General features: G+C 37.2%; 1 protein-coding gene across 1 annotated transcript; it reads right to left on the bottom strand.

The window, feature by feature from the left end:
* Positions 1–9,138: 9,138 nt before the first annotated feature.
* On the bottom strand, positions 9,139–17,151 carry OR2A14 (olfactory receptor family 2 subfamily A member 14). The gene is made up of 2 exons (NM_001001659.3): positions 17,063–17,151; positions 9,139–11,248 (listed from the first exon to the last, which is right to left on the bottom strand). Exon 2 carries the CDS (start codon positions 11,212–11,214, stop codon positions 10,282–10,284), a length of 933 nt encoding a protein of 310 aa, NP_001001659.1. The 5' UTR covers positions 11,215–11,248; positions 17,063–17,151; the 3' UTR covers positions 9,139–10,281.
* Between the last annotated feature and the right edge of the window lie 2,912 nt (positions 17,152–20,063).

Here is a 20,063-nt window from a genome sequence, read left to right as displayed (position 1 = left end):
AAAATACATGTTTGTAATTCTACTACCTTATTAACCATCAGGTTTTATATTATTTTCCTGCTTTTATTCTTATTTAGAAATTTTAGAATCTTGAATATTTTAGATTTTGTGTGAACCCTTGTGTAAACAATGTGATACCTACTTTGTATGAGATTTTGACTTGAAGTTTTAAAAACCTAGAAAAACGTGAAACTCTAGTTAAAGGACTAAAGAGATGACATGTTGAAACATACAAACAAAAGTGATCATTTTAAATAATTGTGCAGTTATACTTTTCTACTGTTTATTTCATATATATCATTATTATAAAAATTATATGAAAAATGCTATTTGTTTAACTAGCTCTATCATATATCATGAACCATTTCCCATGTCAAAATATTTCTCTGAAACATAGTTTGAACAGCTATTATTCAATACAAATATTCTAATGGACTTAATGTATTATCTCATCATTAGATTGTGTGCTATATAATGCTTCAGTAATTAAATTATATATGTATATGTTTGTATTTGTTGTCTTTTTTCATGACATTTTTAATAGTAAATTCTGAGACTTAGAAGTGCTCAGTCAAGTCAATCAATTTATGTATTTATATATCTCTGTGTACTCATCTAAAAATCAAACAAGCAAAAATCCCAAATATATTAAGGTGTATCACTGTAAGATGCCTCCTAGTGGAAGAGGATGTCTAATTTATCAATCATGATGCTGTAATCTCAAATTAACCTTCTGCTACTCCCCAGGTTCCATGCGGTCCCATGTGAAAGAACCATCTTAACATTGCACTTCAGATTTCCCACCTAGACATCTTTCTACATATATTATTAAGCACAACAAATACAGATTTCTCATGTTTTATCTAATCTAGTGTTTCCTTCTCAATTTCAGTTTCTGCCTTGAGGGGAAGTCCTGCTTCATAGGTGAATGACATTGAGAATGAGTTAACACTTCATATATATTAAATAAAAGATAATATCTTTACTCACACAGAAATGACAAGTTAAAAAATAATTTAAAATAATCAATAACATAGCACTTAAAATGTTGTATAAATATAATTTCATTTTATCACACATGGCAAATGGCAAGGTTTCTATAAAGCAGACACACTCCCAGATAGTTATAAATCTCTTTCTATGATGGATATATTTTCAGTTTATACTTGTTACTGACTTTATTTTTTAGTGCATAAGAATGTAAGATGGATTCAGTAATAAAATTTTGAGAATTTTGACTATCCGTTTGGAGGATTTGAGGCATAGGTAAATGTAAATTCTCAGGCAGGCCTATATTTAAGTTGCAAAAGTCATATGAATCTTTCAAAAATACTAATGTCATTACTATGCTTATCCACTAGCCTCATTGTATAAGTGTGAAGGGGAATTGTAGTGGAATCATAGCCTCTTCTTGGAAGGATTTTCTTGCATGTTTACAACCAGTTACTATAAAAAGAAAGGAAGCAGCCTGCTTGAACTTGTCTAGGCCCCATTGAAAACCTACTTGATAGACGGCCTATAAAGAGAGTCTTTTCTATTCTAGCAAATTAGAGTAGAGGCACAAGGGTAGGCTCTTTAGGCACATATTAAAGGTATAGGCTTGGTCAATCATTACAGTTAAAAGAGTTATGTCCTCACTATGACGATATAGACAATTCTCAAGGTAAAATCAAAGATGAAGGGGCAAGGATATCAAATGTCATTTATTTGAATGGAGATATGCCTTCACCAGATAATGAATGGTAATATATCTTATACTTCTTCATCTCTTGTAATAAGTAGTATACTTGTAGATAAAAGTAGACACTCAGAAAATGCTTATTACTTAGGTGAATGACATTTTTAGTTAGTTATAGATTTAGTTATTTACGTATATGTATATTAAATATACTCTGTAACTATATGTATAAAATATATGGGATATATATAGTAAATGTATATAATATATATTTTTGTCTATTGGCCAGGACATGATTTATACTTTTTAAAAAAAGTATAATACTTAGATGAATGACATTTTTACTTATAGATTTAGTTATTCATGTATATGTATATTAAATATACTCTATAAACTATACATATATAACATATAGAATATATATGGTAAATATATATAATATATATTTTTGTCTATTGGCCAGGACATGATTTATACTTTTTAGAAAAAGTGTAAAAATAATTTATACTTTTTTAAAAAAGTGTAAAAATAATTTATACTTTTTTAAAAAAGTGTAAAAATAATTTATACTTTTTAAAAAAACATTACAGCTACAATTTGATTATTTGAAATGTCAAAATAATTAAAAACAGTATTTGCAAAGGATACATTCAAATTAGCATAATGGTAGGGACTATATTGCGTCTGTAGATAAAATGGCCCCACTTAAATGTACTGTATGTGTAGTGGATTGAATGGTGACCCCCAAAAGATATAGCCCTATCCTAATCCTCAGCACCTGTGAATATTGCCTTATTTTGAAAGAGGGTCTTTGCAGGTGTGATTAAGAATCTTAAGATAATCCTGAATTTTATGGATGAGCCCTAATTCCAATGACAACATTTCTTATGCAATAAAGGCAGAAGGAGATTTGAAACAAACTGCTGAAGGCACACAGAGGCAAGGTGATGCAACGACAGAGCAGACAGAGATGTGGCCAGACACTGAGGAATGCTGGAAGAGGGATGAAATATGTTCTCCTTTAGGTTTCCCAAAGGGAGCAAAATTTTACTAGATTCCAGATCTGTGAGAGAATGAATTTCTATTGTTTTATTCAACCACATTTGTGGTAATTTGTTACACAAGCTGTAAAAAACAAATATAGTATCATATACCTGCTTTGAATCAATGCTTGAGGACAATTTTAGAGTAATGGATTTTTGAAGCAAGTACTTCATATGGAGGTAAAATAACCTGAGAGGTAAGCTTGAAGATACATGTGTGAGCATTGTGAACTTTTGCAAACTAAGCCTAAGAGGGATCAGTCACATGGGCAGTGTTTCTTTGAGATCAATAACTCAATAAAACAGAAAGGCAAAATCACAAATTCTTAAATTTCTATAAATACATTGTATTTGAAGAGGGTTCTATATAAATATGCATTAAATTATTTTGTTACAATAAGATATATTCCTATAGTACGCCAAGTGGGGATAGTAACATCATATTGCAAAATCTTTATTAAACAGAGTTGGACATAATACTCATGTCTGAAACATATTTAATTTCTGAATATAAAGGATAACAATATTATTGAAGATAATTCAATCTATTGTTACCCAGTAGGAACATTCGTTTCTTGATATTTTAGTCTAGTTATTTTTTCTGGATTATAAATCTTTTTATTGTCATTACCCTTACCATTTGCTGTTGAAAAACAGACAAAATTAAAAAAAATAAAATTGCAGGCAGATTAACATCTTTAAGTGGCTAACACACTGGAATGGAGAACAAAATATCACAGTGATGATGCCTAAAATTTCACCTTTCCAATAGAATAAATAAAACAATAGCAGATCAGAAAATAAAAGGTTTTCTTGATCAGTATGAGCTATTTTCCACCCAGGCAGTCCTGCAACCCAGAATGTTTCTTCAGCTAGAGTGCTTTATTCTATTTCTCCAACTCTTAGTAGTAGTGATAGCCTGGGATAGTTCCCCCAAAGACATAATTCTATGACAGACTTACCTTTTAAACTCTTTCAGATAGAAAAAGATGTAATGTAACTGTGATAGATTTTTCGTTTCCATTGAGAAAGGTTTTCCTGGCCATGTATATCTTTATTTAGGCTGGGTAATGTATAGAGTCCTTGCATTAATTTGGCTATTTCAAAGCCTTATTCAGAGACCTGGATACAAAGCCCCTCCTTCTCTGAGCTCCTTCTCATTGAGACAATGGGGCTAGCTCTGACCTCCACCATCAAGGGACATTGGCAGGTGATGGTGCGAGAGATGCTGGGGGAGCCTTGGGACCCCTGTTCACAGCAGAGCAGGAAGACGTTCCCTGGGAGGAGGAGAGGGACATTGGTGTGTATTCCAACTACCTGCAATCTACACTTTGATTCAGGAGGGAAAGTCACCCAGGGATGTTGTTCTTCCAGCATAGCCATGGTGATTTCTGCAGTCATCCAGCTCTAGTTCAACTACCTATACAGGAAAACACCTCCCAGCAGAAATGAATGTCTTCTATATAAGGAGATGTTAGCACTAGACTTTTCCTCAGGATAATATTTTGACCTAGAATAAACCCTACAGAGATGAGACACATACCGCTAAAATGAATATAGACTCCTACTCCCTCTGGAAGCCTTCATAGGATTAAATCCCAGATACAGACAGATTCACTGGACTCACTGAAGTTTCTTTAGCTAACTCCAGGAGCATAGCTTTTATTTTAGAATCAGATGAATAAAAACATTCTTGAGTTTCTATTGAGAATTAAATTCCCAGGAGGATAATAATATATACTTATTTGTCTTCTCTCTAAGGAGTATAGGGAAGATCTCCGGATCTTCTCTCTGGAGGAGAACAAAGATTTTCTGATTGTCCTTACAGGAAAATTATCAGGACCAGGCAGGGCAGATGATGGCATCACACTATTTCTGCACAAGCTTTCACAGATCTCAAGGGTCATAAACATGAGGCAGACATCACAAATTACAATATCCAAACTCTTAAAATGATTATGGTTTTATTACTTTATACTTCCCTACAATCTCCATGAAGGTATAAGAGAGGCCGTGACTTTCAGATAGTTGAGAGGTGGTTTTCATGGAACCTGGTATGGGGACTCTGAGAAGGAACAGATCTCTCAATGCCAACATAAATTTCTATTTCCTGTAGGAAGTGATAGATACAAATGAAAAAGGATTAAAATAGACATAAGTATCAATTATTGAGCCCTTTTTGTGTTTCAGAAAATGTGACACATTTTCTGCTTTATATGGACTATATATTTTAATCTGATCATTATCCTCATTTTACATATATGAAGACTGACATTTTGATATGCTGTCTGCTATTCTTTAAGTGTGGTTGAGGGACTCTGAAAATTTCTGACAAGCTTTCAAAGAGTCTGTGGGATAAAAACTATTTTCACAATACTATTTAGATAGTTTTAATATTTTTTTACCCTCGTTCTCTCACGAGTGCACACTGAATTTTTTCAGAGGCTAGCTGATATGGCAACAGATAGAATGAAGGAAACGTAAAATGCAGCTTTCTATTAAGCTGAATATTTTAAGAATTGCAAAAATGTAAAATAAAGTTACTTTTTATAAAATATATTATTTATAAGAATATCTTATCAAGAATATCATATTAACCTATATTGGAAGCCATTTAAATTAATTAAAAGTAAATAATAAATTTGTCAGTTTTGATTTCTATTATAACATCAACAAATATACTTACATAAATGAAATATCTTCAGACCCTCAGTAATTTTTAAGAATTTAAAAGTGTTCTGAGACCAAAGAGCTAGAGAATTATTGCGCTAAATTATGGATCACCAATCTAGCAAGGACTAGAGCTGGAAACAAATGATCTTTATTTAATACCAAAAGTGTATTCACCATTCACGTTCTATTGCAGTTGCAACAAATTAACAAAAACTTAATGGCTTAAAACAGCACATATCTATTATCTCACAGTTTCCATTGATCAGAAGTCCTGGTGGTCAGCTGGATTCTCTTTAAAACAAAATCAAGATTTTAGCTTGGTCTGCAATTCTCATCTGAGACTTGAGATCCTCTTTCAAGTTTAATGGTTGTTGGAAAAATTAGATTCCTTGTGGTTGTAGGGTTGAAATCTCTGTCCATTTGTCACTGCTGTTTTCTGTCCTCTGGGATCTGGGATGGCCTGAGCTGCCTGCTGCCACTCTGGTGCCTACATGGGACCACCTCCGTGTTTAAATCAGCAATGTTTGTTGAGTGCTTCACACACTTCAAATCTCTCTGACTTCCTCCTCTGTTACTAGGTGAAAAAAATTCCCAGCCTTTAGAAGACTCACCTGATTGTTACCATGGTAACCTTCACATTTTAGGACCCATTGATCTACAAAGCCCCTTCACAGCAGAACCTAGATTAGTGTTTGATTAAATAACAAAAGTCTAAGGGGGGCCATTTAGAGAATTCTGCCTATCCCATAAAGCCATTTCATCTTAACCACTGAGCATTGTTTTCATTTTTTGATCCTATATTTTTTCCTTGAACACATGCTGTTCTATCAATGCTATCTTTATTATAGGCCTCAAGCTATTGCTTCAGATTTCCCACCCAAAATAACATGGCCCTGAATCCAAATTCCAAAGGGAAAAATTTCCATTTCTGTGTCTTACTCTAAGTGATATGATTAGAGTATTTTAAAGTTTTATATGAGTTTATATAAATTTAACTGAGTTAACCCTTTCTTGTACAGTTCACTCACCAGGCACTTGGCTTAGGCTCTTTTACCAGAATGATCACACTTTTCAGAGTATCTATATTTAGAAAAGCATTTATATAACAGATACAGCAATAGTGTCAGCATAAATATGTCTAATATCTGTGAGTCACTGTGGGGTAGGGAAAGACCTAAGAAAACAGCTAATCCATCCTATAAAGTCGTGACATACACATACATTTTCATGTTTTCGCACTAATCTGATTACCGGCTTCCCCCTTTATTTGCACCCTGTGATAACCTTATACAGAACAATTTAGCGTAGATATTAGCTGATGGTTAGTTATATTAAGTTCTTCTACAGGCCATCCTTTTCCATTGGTATCAGGAAGTTTTAACCTGATTTTGCAATATATTTCATCATCAGTTTCAATATTAACACGAGTTATTTACATAAAATAGTTGAATATTACCAACAATGCCAATGTTATACCATACTGCAGTGTGATCATGGTATAAGCAGTTTCATTCCAGAACAAATCAGTAAGAATTAGAGAAGTATTTACTATCCCTTTCTAACAGCTGTGGCCCATGCTCGTACACCATATTATTACTGACAAGTATCGTTACAATTAGCCATGATTTGGTTATTTCCGGGTTCCAACTCTGTTGGGGACAAATTCAGTTACCCTATCTAGGTTTAAAAGCTTTCCACTGAAACTAGTTTCTATTGTGTGCTGCTATATAGCGGGACCCACCTCTGTCCTCAGGTGAGGGCACGGTGTTTTCAGAATAGTTCCCAGAACTCCTAATTGTACTACAGGTTATATCTTACTCAGATCTACTCTTGGGATGAAGGCAGTCATAGTCCATCAGTGAAAATTATCAGTGCCTCAGAGAACTTCGATAAGTTATAAGGTCTACAAGGTTCCCTTCAGTGATCCCCTTGTGCCTATTCAAGTAGAATGGAAGGCCATTGCCCCAGGGCTGCTTTTGCTTCTGTCTGCATCACAACAGCCAATAGGGACAGTGCACAGTGGCTCACGCCTGTAATCCCTGCACTTTGGGAGGCTGAGGCGGGTGGATCAATTTAGTTCAGGAGTTTGAGACTAGCCTCGGCAACATGGTGAAACCCCGCCTCTACTAAAAATATAAAAATTAGCTGAGCATGGTGGTGCTTGCCTGTAGTCCCATCTGCTTGGGAGGCTGAGGCAGGAGAATTACTTGAACCTGTGAGGCAGAGGTTGCAGTGAGCCAACTTCACACCACTGTAGTCCAGCCTTGATGGGTGACAGAGCAACCCTGTCTCAACAAACAAACAAACAACACACACACACACAAACAAACCAAACCAAAACAAACAAACAAAAAAACCAACCAACCAACCAACCGACAAGCAACAAAAAAATCAGCCAATAAGTCCTGTTGGGTCAGGGCACAAACCCCTCCTCTAACACTGAGTCCTAGCAGTATCCTGCGTTATTTGCTGAGTCTGCATGACCCATTCCACCTGAACTTCATTACGTTTCTATGTTGAGTTCACTCCTTTGCCTTCCTCATGGAAGAGAATTCCCTCTTTTTTGCTTATTCTAGTTAACATTTCTCCCCCTCTTAAAGTGAATTCAGCTTGTCCCAGGATGCCTAGGTAGGCATCTATTTCCCCTAAAAGCTTTTCTTATCTTGTGGGACAGTCACCATTCTTTTTGTTGTCAAATCAAATGTCACAGAGAATTCTATCAGTGAAATATTTTGTCATAATGGATGGTAGACACTGAGAGGAAAATCGTATGCTATTGTGCGAGGGCTAGAAATGGGCAGGTTGATTTTAAAATTGGCTGAGGAGCACCAAGAAAAAAAAATGGAAACAATAATACATTAGTATACAACACTTTACATTTCAGGAATAAAAAGGAAGCAAGATAGGTTAATACTTTCTGAGATTAGTGAAAGTAAGATAACTTGTGCTCTGAATATCAGAGTAGTGTTCAGCTTTAGAAATCCCTGCCGTATCAGTCTAGTGATTCCCTTCTTTACATAGTAAAGATTTCTACAGCATAAGATCTCCAGGCCGGGCTCAGTGGCTCACGCTTGTAATCCTAGCACTTTGGGAGGCTGGGGCGGGCAGATCATGAGGTCGGGAGATGGAGACCATCTCGGCCAACATGGTGAAACCCCGTCTCTAGTAAAAATACAAAAATTAGCTGGGTGTGGTGGTGGGCACCTGTAATCCCAGCTATTCGGGAGGCTGAGGCAGGAGAATCACTTGAACCTGGGAGGCAGAGGTTGCAGTGAGCCAAGATCGTGCCACTGCACTCCAGCCTGGTGACAGAGCAAGACTCCATCCTAAAAAGAACTCTAACATATCCTGAGGTTTTGATATTAGTAATTTTTCCTTCTATGTTCTCTTCCAGGCAAAATTATTATCAGCTATCAGCTTAGGGTTAAGAGTTACATTTCTGGGTATTCCAGGCTAAGATGAGAGTGGCTCTCTCAAAATATAATTAAAACTAGGACTTTTTCAATATCAAGATATAAGATGCTTTTAATAAAATGGTTGCTAAATATAAAAGAAAACAATTAAAAATCTACGATCTTGTTAAATCCACTCTTAAAAATTAATCTGTACAAGATATCTCTGTGCTTGTTTTCACTGGACTGCTGTGCTCCAATTAGAATGTTGAGTTGCAAACTTTTATCCTAAGATCTCAGGCTCAAATTAGTGATGGAGTATGAGGAGCCTGCTCTTAATTCCTGTGTGATGGAGAAACCATGAATATTTACAGTCCACTGGCTATTGAGTCATGGCATATTTTAGAAAGTGTCAAAGGAGGAAAAGTCTCACTCTCAAGTAAGTACAATGTGATCACAGGAATTTGACTGCAAGACATGTCTAATCACATGCTCCCTGAGGCCCCACCCAGTGAGGGTCTCTAAAGTGGGATCAGCTGGAACTATGCTAGTTTTAAGATCTAGAACAAGGGTTCACAAACTACTGTCCCTGGGCACCATTCCAGCAGCCACCTGTTTTTACAAATAAAGTTTTATTGGAACACGGGCACACCCATTTGTTTACACATTGTCTATGGCTGCTTTTGTCAGAGTTGAGTTGTTTTGACGCAGAAGATGGCCCTCAAAGCCTTAAGCATTAACCTGTGTATCTTCACAGGAAGTGTCACTAATTATTGATCTTGAGGATGTGTACTATGCTCCTGTTAACTCAATGTGACTTGGCTACTATTGGCACAAACTCTGCTAGTATCGACCATTTCCAATATTAGAAATAGATTTCCAATAACCTCAATGATAAATAAGCCATTAAAAATTTCAGACATCTTAGTGGGTATATAATAGTATCTCATGGTGGTTTTAATTTACAATTCCTTGCTTACTAATGGTGGAAAGCAGCATTTGTATGTTTATCAGCCCCTTGTATTTTCTGTAAGAGTATATGTTCACATGTTTTGCTAATTTTATAAAATTTGGTTGTTTATATTTTTTATTGCTGATTTAAAGGAGTTCTTTCTATGTACTGTATGAACAATAGTTCCATTTCTGGGTACATGTAGTTTCCATACGATCACTTGGTTTGTGGCTTGCATTTCTTCTTTCTTAATGGTGACTTTGATGAGCACAATGATTAATGTGAAGAGGTCCTATATTTATCGAACTTAAAAATTTTATATCTAGGGACTTTTGTGTCTTCTTTATGAATTTATGCCTATCCAGTATTATAAATGCATTTACCTATCTTTTCTAAAAGATTTGTGTCTTCAGTTTATATGTATAGGTCTATAGTATTCCAGTTTAAGGTAGCATTTATTCTAGCAGAAGACAAAAAAAAAAAGCCAACTTCTATATTTTGCAGGGAGCAAGGCTCCCTCCCCATGGTTCCCTTTGAGATGTCTCACGTCAGCCTCTCCTTCCTCAGTGCCCTCCTCAGGGCGCCCTTGACCTCTGCATTCCTTAGGCTATATATCAGGGGGTTCAGCATTGGATTGAAAAGGCTGTAAAACAGGGAAAGAACTTTCTGCTGCTCCTCAGGATGGCGGGACTTGGGGGCCATGTACGTGACAATGGCGCTGCCAAAGAAGAGTCCCACCACGCAAAGGTGGGAGGAGCAGGTGGAGAAGGCCTTTCTGCGGCCCTCCCCAGACTGGATCCTCAAGATGGCGGCCAGGATGCGCAAGTAGGAGACCAGCACCAGGCAGAGTGGCCCCACCAGGATGAACACGCAGGCTGCAAAGATGACCACCTGGTTGAGCCAGGTGTCAGCACAGGCCAACTTGAGGACAGACAGGATTTCACAGAAGAAGTGGTTGATTTCATGAGGCCCGCAGAAGGGCAGGCTCAGGATGAGAACTAAAGGGACCAGAGCCAGGAGGAAGCTGAACACCCAGGAAGCCACAGCCAGGACAGTGCACACTCTCCAGCTCATGAGGCTATTGTAACGTAAGGGGTGGCAGATGTCCGCATAGCGATCATAGGACATCACCACCAAAATCAGACACTCTACGTGAGCAAAAGCCAAATACAAGAATGTCTGCATTATGCATGGAAAAAAGGAGATGGTGCTTTCCTGGTTCATAAGATTCGTCAGCATCTTGGGGACATAGTTGGAAGCATAGGATATGTCAACAATGGCCAGGTGTGAGAGGAAGAAGTACATGGGTGTGTGAAGCTTACAGTCCAGGCAGATAATCCCAAAGATGACCCCATTCCCCAGCAGGGTGAGTGTATAGAAGGCAGAGAAAAGTCCACAGAGGAGAATCTCCAGTGCTGGACCAACCTGGAATCGCGGCAAGGTGATGTCTGTGATCCATGTCTTGTTGCCTTCCATGCTCTTGTGGACATCTAGGACAGGAAGGTCAGAGCTGTGGGCCAGTCAAAGATGCACAGAGGGAGCACTTAGAAATTATAACTTTGAATGAATTTTCTAGAATTTATTCTCAGATATGTTGCCAAAACTAACCAAGTGTGCTCATAAAAATGAGAAAAAATCGCATTGTATCAATGGAATAATAAGAATACATACATGTATATGTGTATATATATTTGTGTGTGTATGTGTACATGTATATAACATTTAATAAAATATAACAAAACAGGATCTATTATAATATACCCTACATAAGGGGATACACACGCACATGTGTTATTTTGAAGAACTCAAGTATCCTTGCTTCCCTTTCAGTGTGAAATCTTGATTTTTACGTAGTTTGAGAAGAGAGGACCTTGACAAATGTTGCATTATGAGGTGGTTTCACTTGCTCATCCTGCTTCCTTCTCAGTCTGAGATGTGCAGGGACGGGGACCCTCTGTTTGCCATGGGCTTGCTCACTGTCCCTCACCTCCTCACAGGCTTTTCTACCCACTTATTTCAGATTTGAAATCACTTTTAAATAGCTTTCAATTTTGTAGTTTCTTTAAAGCTTTCTGAGATAAGACGCTCCTTTTCAGAAGCTGGCCAGTACTCCCTAGCAGCAACTTTAGGTGCCTCTTTTCCATATCTGGTGTTTGTAGTTTTATTTTGAGAGTTTTCCTTACTTCTTCATCAGCATCTGTTATTGTAAATTAGGCATGAGTGAAATAATTCTTGGCTACATACAATGAATACATGTATATATCTTTAAAATAACTAAGCATGGTGACATTTCTGAGGTCTTTTAAATAAGAAATTCAAAAGAAAAACCAATTTACATTAAGTGGTTACATTTAAAGATGATCGCTGTATCGTAATTGTATTTTATTGGACTCTTTTCTCGATTATAACTTAATATGTTGACATCTCTCAGAGCTTATCTTACTTTCCAGTGTGACAGAGTCTTTTGTCATCAATATATTCCCAGCTATGGCAACTGGGGTTGCTGTCGGTTCCCCTAACTGTATTCTTCTCCATCACCTGTGATCATGCCAGCAGCCCTGTTGCTGTTCAGATGGAATCTGAGCATGTGATGGGGATGGGATCAGGTGCAGCCCCAGCTGGTGAGCTCTTTCTAAGGAGCTCTTCCTGGAGGGTCTGGGTCTATCCAGCCAGCAGGGGGCGACCAAGGGCCATGAACAGGACGGATGGCCTCATCAGGTGGAGAAACCATGTGACCTGGTGCTGTTCTGTTAACACTTCACATTTATTCCAGAAACAGCCTGAGGACTATCTTTATTTTCAAATCAGGCTAAAGGTTCAAATCCAACAGGATACTTTTAAAAAAACAATTTTGATGTCTTTTATTTTAGTAAATACGTAGATCCTCAAATTTATATATTAAAATAGGGTATTGTACAGAGTATTTAAACATTACAATTTTTCACTTAATATAATACTTTTCCTGTATCGAAATTATATTTTATGGACATTATTTTAAAGGGGCACAATATTCTGTCACAATTTACTGAATTTCTTACTGTTTGAATTTTTGTTTATTTCTTATTTTTATTGGCATTGAGATACATTTCTCTTAAACTTAAGATTTGCCTATATTCATAATTATTTATTAGAACATATTCTAAAAGTGAAATTGCAGATGCTAAATATACAGACATTTCTAAGGTTTTTATCCCTATTTTAACTTCCATCTAGAAAATCTGACCAATTGCAATTCCCTCCCACAGTGTGTAAGAATCATGTCTCTTTGCCACATAGTCAGTACTAGGCATTACCAATTACAATCTCTGTTACTTTCATAAGCAAACAATGTTCTGTAACTTATATTTGTATTTTGTATATCCCTTAACGAATGATCCTTGAGTGCATGATCTGTTTCAGCCACTGTTCTAAGCTTTAGAGGCCCAGCTGTGGATGATGTAAACACATTCTGAAAGGGAGGCAGATTATAAAGAAGTAATATTAAGGTGATGTGCTTCTCTTCCACACCTCACATTTCTATTTAGGGAAGGAAACCTCTATGCCCCTGGATAAAATTGTTTTAGAGTATACCTGCCTCTCTCTTTCCCCTAATTTATATGATTTGTGAAACAGGAAAGAGAAACTGAGGGTGACCTTTCTCTGTTCTCTGTTTCACCTGCATGCATTTCTATCTGCTTGGGATTAAGGTATCAGGAGCATGTTCAGTCCCATTTGGAGGTGGGGAAGGGGTGTCAGCTAATGGTTGTGATTTTAATTTGGAGAGAAACTTTGTTGAAAATATAAACCATGCTTTTCAACAGACTTTATTAATAAAATACCTTTTTGAATTATATCCGATTCTTTCATGTATTATTCAACTCATTTTTTCCAGACTTGGAACAGAGAGAGGGCATGATTCATTACCACTGTAAAAGACCAGGAGTAAACAAGTAAAGATAATTGCTGGCCATGAAAAGAACAATGAAGGAAATAATCTAGGTAAAATAATAGAAAGCTACTTGATTTGAGGGGGGTCTCCTTTAGATGGGATGGTTGGAAAAGGTCTCTCTTAAGAGGAGACAGGTGAGTGGAACCTAAACCATGAAGGCCACAACCCTGCCCAGAGCCAAAAGAGGATCATTCTCTACACAGAGAACAGTAATGGAACAGTAAACGCAAAGTCTCTGAACAAGATGCACTTGGTGAGTTCTGGGAAGAGAAAGAAAGAAACACAATGTACCTGAACCATAGTGAGCAGGAGATTGTACTTATTCTTTGTAACCTTGTTTATATTTTTAACAATCTGAAATTGACATAAAAAATTCATCAGTTTAGCTGATATACTTTTGACTTTATAATAATTGATTTACTTTTAGATTCATGAAAGCAGAATACAGTTAAAAGATATGTATGTACAGAACTTCCAATGAGCACATATTTGAAATAGGAAACTGTTTAATTTTCTGCACAATATAATTTTAATGCCAGAATGGTAGTTGTCAATTTTTGGACACAGCAAATGTTGTGTTAATGTCCCAATGAATCAAGCTGAAAAGGAGAAGCCTTTTATCCCTGAGACCTCCAAGCACATGGATATTTTGCATATTTTTAGTCCCTCCTGGCTCCCATCTGTGGTGTACACATCTGTGCTCCTACTGTTCCAAGGCCCAGTGACCTAGGTAGCAGGCATTTGGATGCTTTAGGAGTAAAAAAAAAATCCAGTCATTACCAAATAAATACAATTGTTTGGTTAATCTAAATTCATAATTAAGCAAATCTGGGTTTATAGTTTTATTTGTAATTTTTGTAAAGTAAGGAATTTCGGGGAAAAAAACCCCAGCAGCCTAGAATAAACTATTTCTAAAGAGCAGGAATAAAGAAAGAAACAAATAGAATTCTTAGTGAAAGTGAAATTTAATCAGACGTGAACTACATCCAAACTGTATAAAACTCTGGTTATCAACTGTGCTTTTAACAGTTGTGTACAAGAGGCCACAAGGAGAAAAGTCTATAATGGTGGCTACCTACACACAAAAATTGTCCATCTGTTCAATTGTGAAGTTAAGTAAACAAATATACAGTATAAGAGGAAAATAGTTTTTTTCCTTTTATTTATTGGCATCCTTTTGTATTTTGGATTTCACAGTTCAAGTAGTCAGACTTTTCTTTTAGAAAAGCCTGTGGAAGTTCAATAAAGAATCAGATATCTGAAAGGAAGATTTATTTAGGCATCCACTCCAGTTACACATTACAGAACAATCTTCAGTGGATGGAGTAAGGGAAAAAACTGCATGGATACATTTTTCTGTTCTTAAAGAGCAAAGCAAATTTAGCAGTGACAGAAAAAAATATGGTCTCTGAATAAGAATGAAAGCAACAGGAGTAACAGTCTTGGCCAGAACACTATTCCAGTCTTGATTCTGAGCAATGAACATGACGCATTTGAGTCACGTATTCTAAGGCTCATTATTGTCAAATGTAAAATGTTGACCACAGATACCAAAAGGACTGATGTGAAGAAGAAATACCATCGCACTGGTACATTATAGGAATTTAATAAATGTCAGCTGTTACTAATGATATTAAAGAGATCGTAAAATTGAGGGAAGTATTAAAGCATAGGAATTGGAAATCCAGTGCAATCATCATGGTGTTGCAAACACTTTCACGTTTATCTTGCTTTTCTTTTTGGCTGTTTTTGAGTTTAAATATAAGACACACATTTTGCTTTGATTTCCTAATATAAATGTTCCTATATTTTGATTTTTAAAATTAAAAAGCAATTTAAAGAAATGGAAGACTCCTTTGAAGTAACCACACTCCCTTACTGAAGAAAAAAAAATACAGGCTGTAATAGTAAGAGGTCAATCCCACCATGCTAAATATCCCAATGATAGAGAGAGGATTAATTTTTTGGAAAGAAAAGGGGGGCGTATTTAGGGTGTTTAGCACTGACACAAAAGAAAAGTTTCTATTGAAAATTGTCTTAGAATGGGAGCCCTGGGGCCTCCAGCAGTGGGGTTGTAAGGCAGCACTGATTTGTCAAATCTTTGCAATTACTCAGAAATAACTTGCCATCTCCAATAATATACTTTGACACTGAGCTTAGTCCTAGGGAGCAGCCTAGTTTTTTTTTTTTTTTTTTTTGAGACGGAGTTTCGCTCTTGTTGCCCAGGCTGGAGTGCAATGGTGAGATCTCGGCTCACCGCAACCTCCGCCTCCCAGGTTCAAGCAATTCTCCTGCCTCAGCTCCCCAAGTAGCTGGGATTACAGGCATGCACCACCATGCCTGGCTAATTTTGTATTTTTATTAGAGATGGGGTTTCTCCGTGTTGGTCAGGCTGGTTTCAAACTCCTGACCTCAGGTGATCTGCCTGCCTTGGCCTCCCAAAGTGTTGGGATTACAGGCGTGAGCCACTGCACCCGGCCGCAGCCTAGTGTTAAAAACAAATGAACAAGCATGGATTCCTGAGCCCTGCAGCCTGGGTTCAGATCCTGGCTTTGCTGCATACTAGCTTTATGACTTCTCTGTGCCTCTTCATGCCTCAGTTTCCCAATCTACAAAATGGGGTAATAAATTCTGTCTCATAACATAGTTGTGAGGATTAAATGCATTAACTCACATAAGAACTTAGGTTTTTTAGATATATAATTAGGGATATGAGAACCATCGTTAAGGAGAATGTCTGGATCCAGTCATCATAAGGAGACATGTTCTGTGCTCAATGGTTCCTCTGCTAAAATCAGAAAAAAAAAAGAGAACCTGTACCCTGACAGGCACTGGCTTTTCCCTGTGAGTGAATGGTGCCTGTATCCAGAACAACTGAGAAGGGGATCTTGTCTGGTGACACAACGCTTCTGAGAATGTGCAGGACTAGGCAGTTAGCAGAGGGGCAAGGAGGATACATCCCTGGGTAAGCAAACCACTTACAAACTCTACTTCAGTTTTTAAAATTAGCATTATTTGTAAAAAAGAGTCACCTGAGCCGCATAGCCCCTGACAATCATTGGAGCCCTTTAGCCAGATCATACCCTATAGGGATGGTTATCTGATCCTCTTCTATGGCACAGTGATGACAAAGCCAGGAGCTGCCACAGGGTAATGAGGGGATATGGATGGAGGGGCCGAGAAGGTCAGAGGTACATGGCCATATCCTGGGATAGACGGTGGCCCCTAGAGGTCCCCTCAGGACCCTAGCTATAAATACAGACTTAGAAGCAGAAGGAGACCACATAGCACGGGCATTTCATCGCTACTATCTGGAGCCAGTGATTTCATTCACTGCCCCTTTCCCATTTCCATCTGTAAACCCTTTCTCAAGGCAAATACACCACATTTACTTACAGTACAATAATCTGTGGTCTTTTCTTCTAACATACCCTTGGGCTTGCTAGGAACCTCAAAGACAGGAAAGGCAGAATGGATAGACTGGGATTGATTCTCCTCGCTAATGAGGCCTTCTTGGGAGGTGAAGCCCAGATACAAAGCTCTCCTGAACTTTATGATACAATTAGTTGTGTAAGCCAGGCTTTTTCTACCATCATTTGACTAGACACTCACTCCCTGCAGAGAAAAATAATAATTGAGAGAACAGAACCCAGTGGTAATACTTCTAATCATATCTCTCCAGAGACAATTAAAGATATTTGCTACTTTCCTATTAGCAGGCAAACCAGTGAAGGCATTGCCCATGTTTATTCATTTTGTTCTTTCAGCATTCCCATGGGATGTGTTATGTGTGTTTACTTGGGATTGGACAGGGACAGGATTTCTGTTAAAAGACAAGACTCTTGCACAGAAGATTTAAAAACCAAGATCATGTCTTAAATTAATTTCTTTCAATACTTATTCTATCAATCTTAAAATTGTTCCACTCTCTAATTCCTAGTTTCCCTAGAGGAGAGCCAATGATCTCTTGGTCTCTGCTGGTTAGAGGTCCCTGAATTCTGTTAAAGCATCACTTCAGAAAAATAGCTTTCTCTCAATGGAGAAAACGTCATTGTAAAATAACTACTGCAAATTTCTCACAAATATTATTGACTTGGTAGTTCAGGTATACTTCATCTTCTTCCTTGAATTTCTTCAGTGTGCCTTCCATCTCAAGCATTTCTTAGCCACATATTTATTTCCTTATTGTGGGTTAGTGCCTACAGATAAAATGGCCATACTCTTTCTTTCTCTATCCTTTTTTTTTTTGCACTAAGTGATAAAGTTTGACGATTGTAAAATCCTTCCAGTTCTTACCCTCTGAGTGTCTTTTCTTAACCTAGATCTCAATAGAGGTTTAATTCTTAAATTATGGTGGAGGGAGCACTTCAAAATAATAGTAATAGATTTAACCTATCATGGAGAACAGTAAAAGATATATCCAAGAGGAGTATAATTGGAGTTATTTTTCTTTTAACATAATCTGTGTGACCAATAGAGGCTTACTCTACTTACCTCATTATTCTTCAAAGCACACACTCTACTTCATTCAAGTACTACCCCTAGCAGCTCCCAGTCTTGAAATTCTTATTCCTTATTTCAAGACAATTTTAACTGTTCTACCCACTTGACTTCATACTTAATACTGATTCTGCAAAGCACTCTTGGAGCCCTCTTCACCAATCCAACCCAAACTGGTCTCCCTTGTGAAATAGAACATAACATTTACATTTAGCATGCTTTCAGGTTGTACATAAATAGCTTTTTACTCCCAGTATTTTTATCATTAACGTTTTCTAAAAAGTTACCACAGAAAATTAATTTGATCACCAACATTTGGTGGGCTCTTTTTTGGTTCCATATGAACTTTAAAGTAGTTTTTTTCCGATTCTGTGAAGAAAGTCATTGGTAGCTTGATGGGGATGGCATTGAATCTATAAATTACCTTGGGCAGTATGGCCATTTTCACGATATTGATTCTTCCTACCCATGAGCATGGAATGTTCTTCCATTTCTTTGTATCCTCTTTAATTTCATTGAGCAGTGGTTTGTAGTTCTCCTTGAAGAGGTCCTTCACATCCCTTGTAAGTTGGATTCCTAAGTATTTTATTCTCTTTGAAGCAATTGTGAATGGCTCTCATGATTTGGCTCTCTGTTTGTCTGTTATTGGTGTATAAGAAAGCTTGTGATTTTTGTACATTGATTTTGTATCCTGAGACTTTGCTGAAGTTGCTTATCAGCTTAAGGAGATTTGGGGCTGAGACAATGGGGTTTTCTAGATATACAATCATGTCGTCTGCAAACAGGGACAATTTGACTTCCTCTTTTCCTAATTGAATACCCTTTATTTCCTTCTCCTGCCTAATTGCCCTGGCCAGAACTTTGAACACTATGTTGAATAGGAGTGGTGAGAGAGGGCATCCCTGTCTTGTGCCCGTTTTCAAAGGGAATGCTTCCAGTTTTTGCCCATTCAGTATGATATTGGCTGTGGGTTTGTCATAGATAGCTCTTATTATTTTGAAATATGTCCCATCAATACCTAATTTATTGAGAGTTTTTAGCATGAAGAGTTGTTGAATTTTGTCAAAGGCCTTTTCTGCATCTATTGAGATAATCATGTGGTTTTTGTCTTTGGTTCTGTTTATATGCTGGATTACATTTATTGATTTGCATATATTGAACCAGCCTTGCATCCCAGGGATGAAGCCCACTTGATCATGGTGGATAAGCTTTTTGATGTGCTGCTGGATTCGGTTTGCCAGTATTTTATTGAGGATTTTTGCATAAATGTTCATCAAGGATGTTGGTCTAAAATTCTCTTTTTTGGTTGTGTCTCCGCCCAGCTTTGGTATCAGGATGATGCTGGCCTCATAAAATGAGTTAGGGAGGATTCCCTCTTTTCCTATTGATTGGAATAGTTTCAGAAGGAATGGTACCAGTTTCTCCTTATACCTCTGGTAGAATTCGGCTGTGAATCCATCTGGTCCTGGACTCTTTTTGGTTGGTAAGCTGTTGATTATTGCCACAATTTCAGATCCTGTTAAAGGATTCCCTATTTAATAAATGGTGCTGGGAAAACTGGCTAGCCATATGTAGAAAGCTGAAACTTGATCCCTTCCTTACACCTTATACAAAAATTAATTCAAGTTGGATTCAAGACTTAAATGTTAGAGCTAAAGCCATAAAAACCCTAGAAGAAAACCTAGGCATTACCATTCAGGACATAGGCATGGGCAAGGACTTCATGTCTAAAACACTAAAAGCAATGGCAACAAAAGCCAAAATTGACAAATGGGATCTAATTAAACTAAAGAGCTTCTGCACAGCAAAAGAAACTACCATCAGAGTGAACAGGCAACCGACAAAATGGGAGAAAATTTTCGCAACCTACTCATCTGACAAAGGGCTAATATCCAGA

Source organism: Homo sapiens, chromosome 7, assembly GCF_000001405.40.
Source record: "Homo sapiens chromosome 7, GRCh38.p14 Primary Assembly".
NCBI lineage: Eukaryota > Metazoa > Chordata > Mammalia > Primates > Hominidae > Homo > Homo sapiens.
This window is presented reverse-complemented; position numbering and strand designations above follow the sequence as displayed.

Bases quoted from the DNA above. Each gene is read 5' to 3' on its own strand.
- OR2A14 (NM_001001659.3), bottom strand. From the start codon at position 11,214: ATGGAAGGCAACAAGACATGGATCACAGACATCACCTTGCCGCGATTC.